Source organism: Homo sapiens, chromosome 5 (assembly GCF_000001405.40).
Source record: "Homo sapiens chromosome 5, GRCh38.p14 Primary Assembly".
Classification (NCBI taxonomy): domain Eukaryota; kingdom Metazoa; phylum Chordata; class Mammalia; order Primates; family Hominidae; genus Homo; species Homo sapiens.
Window position 1 is genome coordinate 106,230,614 of NC_000005.10, and position 6,000 is coordinate 106,236,613.

A 6,000-nucleotide genomic window follows, 5' to 3' on the forward strand; every position below is an offset into this window, starting at 1 on the left:
CCCTCAAATTAAGAAATGTGAATAATTGTCAAATGACAAATAATATCTACTGAAATAGACTTGTAATTAAATGCTAATCAGGACAAAATGACACATATGTACTTTACATAGCTACATAAAATTTCCAAACATGAATAACTGAACATGTATTGACTTTCCATGAAAAATAGTCCTTTATTAATTTTTTAAATTATGTAGCAAATATGGAAAAAACTATTTTTTTCATAACTGATGTGTATATAAGTCATGGGTCCATCAGTGATCCACAGATAACACATGATTATTATTATATTAGTGGCAAATAATTGCTGAGAATTACCCACATATTAATATTTTTTAAGTTTCAGAATCTCTTCAGAATTTGATCAACCTACTGACTGACTCATTCATTATAATTTGTTTCCAATATTATAACATTCATTTTAAACAATTTTTGTTAATATTTTCCAAGTTATATTGGTAATTTTGTAGCATATTACTCACATTCATGACTTAGTTGTATTCACTGCAAGAGTCCATCAGGTAGTCTATTCCTCCATATTGTCAGTAGTGAAAACTTAAAGCATTTGTAAGTTGAGCAGCAGCTTAAAATTTGTACCTTAATACACTAAAATAATTAGGATATACATAATACACAATTTAACATAGTTTACATTGTAGAAAATTGTTTATAACATGCAATGACCTGGGTAGACTGGATAAGTGTACCCGATAATATACAAACTTGTTAAACAAGAGAAAGAATTAAACATATATCTAAAGTTGTATGTCTCTAATATAATACTGCTTAATTTTCAATCCTGTAAAATGTATGTGTAACTTGACAAAATCATGAACATTATATTTCATTTATTAAGAACTTTCAACATTTAAAACATGGAAATAAAAATCCAATTGCTAAATATTGCCAGAGAGGAAACCATCATTTTAGCTTAATTTTACCATAGGAAAAATGGCCAATTCTCAGGCTACACTGTTATCCTTGTTTTGATTCAAGATTATATATCTCAAATTATGTTATACATATATATGGCATACATTCGAGATTATTTATCTCAAATTATGTTTTTATATATATGGCATACATTGAATATAAAATCTCCAGTCTCACTATGTGGGAGAGTAATAATAAAAATGTGAATAAGAAAAGGCACGGTAAATATGGAATACTTTTTTAAATCAAATAACATTGTCTGTAGGTACATGCTCTTTTCATTTGCTTTCTTTATTCAAAACCGTTCATTGAAAGTACAGTTTCTATAAAAACCCACATTCATTTTTTTCCGCAAAGAATACCCTTCAATAATAGTGATCTCACATGCGTTTTGCACAAAGTCGATATTTTAGTTTTGTTCTTTATGATTACTCTCTCATGTGACACTGTGGGCAAGGATGCTTGTGCAGTAGTAGGCATTTAGTGGCAATCCTCTCAGGCATAAACTTTTAGCTTTCTTAAAATTCAGCTGAGTGAATTTTCTGGAGAGAATAACATGAGCAAGACACAGTGTTGGGACATTCCCTTTTCTCGTGGCTTTTATGGTATAGTAGTTTCCATGGTGGCTTTCCTCCTACTTGAACAAATGGAGAACCAGTCCACACTGGTTTATTCCCAAGGAAAGCTACTTATTATATCACACTGAGTTTGATTTCCATTCAGAAATTTGGGCTGTAGAAAGTAAAGCAAAGTTATTCCCATAACTATACTTTATAAATAAAATAACGTTAAAGCTAATAAAGTGTGCAATGTTTTAGAACTTCGAAATCAACTATGAAAGTTAAAATGTAGGCTTAAAGTCATTTATTCTCTTGGAATTCTTTTTTAAAGTTAATAATGTAAATATGTTTCCAAAGACACAAAAAAACCCAAATCCTATTAATTTATATAAATAATCACATGCACATGCAAACTAAGGCACAGTTGTATTTAATCAGCTATCATTACTTTTAATTATCTAGTTTATGATTTATGTGTTTAGCATGGTTTGTAGAAACAACTTTTTCTTGCCTCTAAACATCACATAAGAGCAGACATTCTTATCCCCATTCTATAAATATGTAAAATAAAATATGGATTGTTGGTTCAGTTCCCTGAAAACAATAAATCAATTAAATAATAAGAAATAAGTACAAGTTGAGTATCCCTCATCCAAAATGCTTGGGACCAGAAGTGTTTAGGATTTAAGATTTTTTTTTAATTTGGGAATATATGTATATATTTAATGAGCTATCTTGGAAACGGGACTCAAGTCTAAACAAAAAAATTATTTGTATTTTATATACACCTTATACATATAGCTGAAGGCAATTTTATACAACGTTTTAAATAAATTTTGGATGAAACAAAGTTTTGACTGTTTGGACTGTAATTCATCACATGAGGTCAGGTATGAAATTTTCCACTTCTGGCATCATGTAGGCACTTAAAAAGTGTTAGATTTTTGAGCATTTCAGATTTTGGATTTTTGGATTAGGGATACTCAACCTATAGTAGTTAAGGAATACTGGAGACATACCTGTTGAAGCAATTGAGTACAAACATCATGACCATCTTTTTACCTTTGCGTGCAGTTGAATATCTTGGACTACATCTAGTAATATTGTCCTTTCCTTGATGACAAGGTGAATTTGTAGCAAAACAAAATCATTCCTATAATTTTAAATGAACAATACCATTAAGTATCCTTCCCTCAATATTAAAGGAACAGAGGCATTATTTTTACCCTCTTTACTTTCTACTTTATCCAGATCATCTTTAGTATGACTTAACGTTATGAGATATTTGTTTTTAGATTATAGATCACATTCAGTTTCAAAGTTTAAGTGCTTCTTTGTTACTGTTTTTAACATAACTCTTATTATTTTTGACATCTTTAATGATCTATAAGCAGGCTGCCTTTGCCTTTTTTTTCTATGTTCAATTAGCTCAAAGCCATTGATTTCCCTGTCCTTCTTATGCTATAAACCAGTCAGTGGATGTTACTTGGATTAAGAACATTCACATCTTTTATAATGGCAGTTTCTTCCCGTGTGCAGTATCAGCATAAGGGTGTGAGTGTTGTCATCCATTTAAAGCTTATCAAATAGGGCACTTTGAAAGATTGCTTTCCACTGCAATTGATATATTTCTCAGAAAGCATATTGAATGGACCTTTAAGGGAATTAAAACATTTGAAGTGGGAATGGCTTTTCTTGTTTTGAAAGGACGTGATCCAGTATTGCCTATATAAAATGTGCTAGGATTAAGTTTTTGGAAAATTTCTACTATTCATTTTCTTAATTTTTATAGTAAAAGAGACTCTTGTTATTTCTACCAAACAAGGGGAGAAATATAACATGATTTGCCAAGCTGACAAAACTATCTCAGCATTCATTTTGTAAGCTGGCTCCATTGTCAGAGGATTGCAGCAGGGAAGGCAGAAGGGCTGAAATTGTAACAGAATTAAAAAACATGTTGTTGCTTGAAGCACTATGATGTTAATTTACTACTCAATAAATGCAACAAGCTTACACTGAGACTTGCAGGCCTGGAGAGAGAAGCAACTTGAAGGTATCTATGTGCATAGTTGCTTAGCTAATTATGAACAGTGGCTGATTAGAAATGTGCGGGGTGATTCTTCTACCAAAGTTTTATTCCCTACACCTGTACCCCTGAGTCCAAATGTTGCCAGTGGTATAAAAACCCAATGATTTACAAGACAACTTCTGAATGTATAATACCTTCAAAATATGATTAGTGCCCATTAAAATTATAAATATATTGGAATTTGACAGATGGGACTTTAATAAGCTGGGATCTCACAGGATTTGTAATGTTCTGCTGTTTCTAGCTATGGATATCATAAATCGCATGGCACACTCCTCTTTATAGAACTCTCCAGTGGCTTCCATTGCAATCAGTGTAAATAGATCAATTTAACCATGCTCTGCAAGGTCCTCCATGTCCTTACTGATGCCCACCTCTCTGATCTCTTTTCCCTCCTGTTTTCTACTACTTCCCCATTTCATTTCATCCTCATTGGCCTTCATTTTTGTCTCTTAACCATGCCCAGGCCTTTTACCCTGTGATTTTTTAAAAAAATCTTCGATTGTCCTTCTACTAGATAAAGCTGACTTATCTTCCATGTCTATAGGGAGGCCTTCCTGGACTAACATGTCTAAACCAACTCTTCCACACACCTCTCTTCCCTTGTTATTCTGTTTTTGTTTGAGACAGGGTTTCACTCCCATCACTCAGGCTGGAGTGCAATGGTTTGATCACAGCTCACTGCAACCTCTGACTCCCAGACTGAAGAGATTCTTCTGCCTCAGCCTCTCAAATAACTGGGACTGATGCATGTCCCTGTGACTGGGTAACTTTTGTATTTTTGTAGAGACAAGGTTTTGCCATGTTGCCCAGGCTGGTCTCAAACTCCCAAACTCAAGTGATCCACCTGCCTTGGCCTCCCAAAGTCCTGAGATTACAGGCATAAGCCACTGCACCTGGCCCCATTATTCTTTTTTTACACTGTCTGGCTCGTTTATTTTACATCACATGTTAGTATCTATATTTTCACGTGTTAATATTTTTTATTTTCTATATTTGCCCTCGCTCCAGGATTTAAGTCCTAAAACCTAGGGTCCTATCTGTCACATTTACATAGTCGGCAACCACACACCAAAACTGTTCACATTTGATGGAAAATAAAACTACTACTAGTTAGTGCATTAATTTATGAAATCGTTAAAGTTCTCATATATGCTTATTGGAAAATTTAATTTTCACTAAAATGATTATTAGACTGAAAGGTGGAAGTGCAGGTAAGAACAGCGTCCTCATAAATTTATATAGGACTTTTTTGTGGTTTATAAAAGCAATTTCAGTTCCTTATTTGGCTTGCCAAATAATGTATTTTAAAACACTACTATAATAATTCTAATTCTTAAACACATTTTTGCATTTTGTTGTTTTTGTTTTCAGTTGTTTTCTAAGTGACAGTTGTTTTCTAAGTGACAACAAGGAAATGTGGTTTTATTTGATTGACAATTGTCAGAGCTAGAAATTTTATCATCCAAAAAGTAGGTGTATTTAAATTCTAAATAAGTGTCTTTGATGCATTTAAAGATAAAAACAACAACAACAACAGAAAACACCACCTGTAACATGAGTAATTTGGAACAAAAATAACAATGAAAATACATGTGCTGGGAAATATGGCAGGCACTCACTGCTTGACACACTTTACTGATATTAATTCAGTTAATCATCACAGTAACTATGAAGTTGGCATTCTTTTTTCTGTTTTACAATTCAGAAGATTCAGACATGCAAAGTGAAGTGAGACACTCATGTTTAAAGAGACAGTGTTATAGCAAGTATCTGAAACTACACAGTCTGGCCTCTGAAGGAAAAGAGCTGATTTGGGCAAAAGAAAACAAAGAGAAACATCTCTTATTCCCTTCATTTAATAATACCTTAAAATGAACAAACAAAAACACAGTTTATAAGCACTTAACTCCTAATATCTTTGACATCTTTTTTATTCAATATGCATGTTTTTTTTTGGCAATTAGTTAATAAACTTTACTTCCTTTTGAAAAGCAGAATTTAAAATCCATATAAACCATACAAAATCCCTCTTCTATTGATGGCATTTTTTTGGTTAACACATAACTTGTCTTTTCTGTAAACATTTTGAATCTTTCTCACTGTGGCATTGAGATGTTTATTTGAATAAACCTGTTAAATTATAATTTTTCTTAATGAACAAATAATAGATCAATATGCCTTGTTAATCATTGATGTGTAGCAGTTTTTGCCACCTCTATGTAATTACTCTAAAAAATATATCAGTTCTATAACAATATTATACTCAAATGCATATTTCTTCTGAATCCTTTCCCTGATAGGGGACTGTGTATTAAATTTAGCAATATAATTTTCTCTTTTTGTAATCATAAAATATTTTATTTTACATGTTATTATTAATGTATAAACTTATATGGTTACATAACTACATAAAG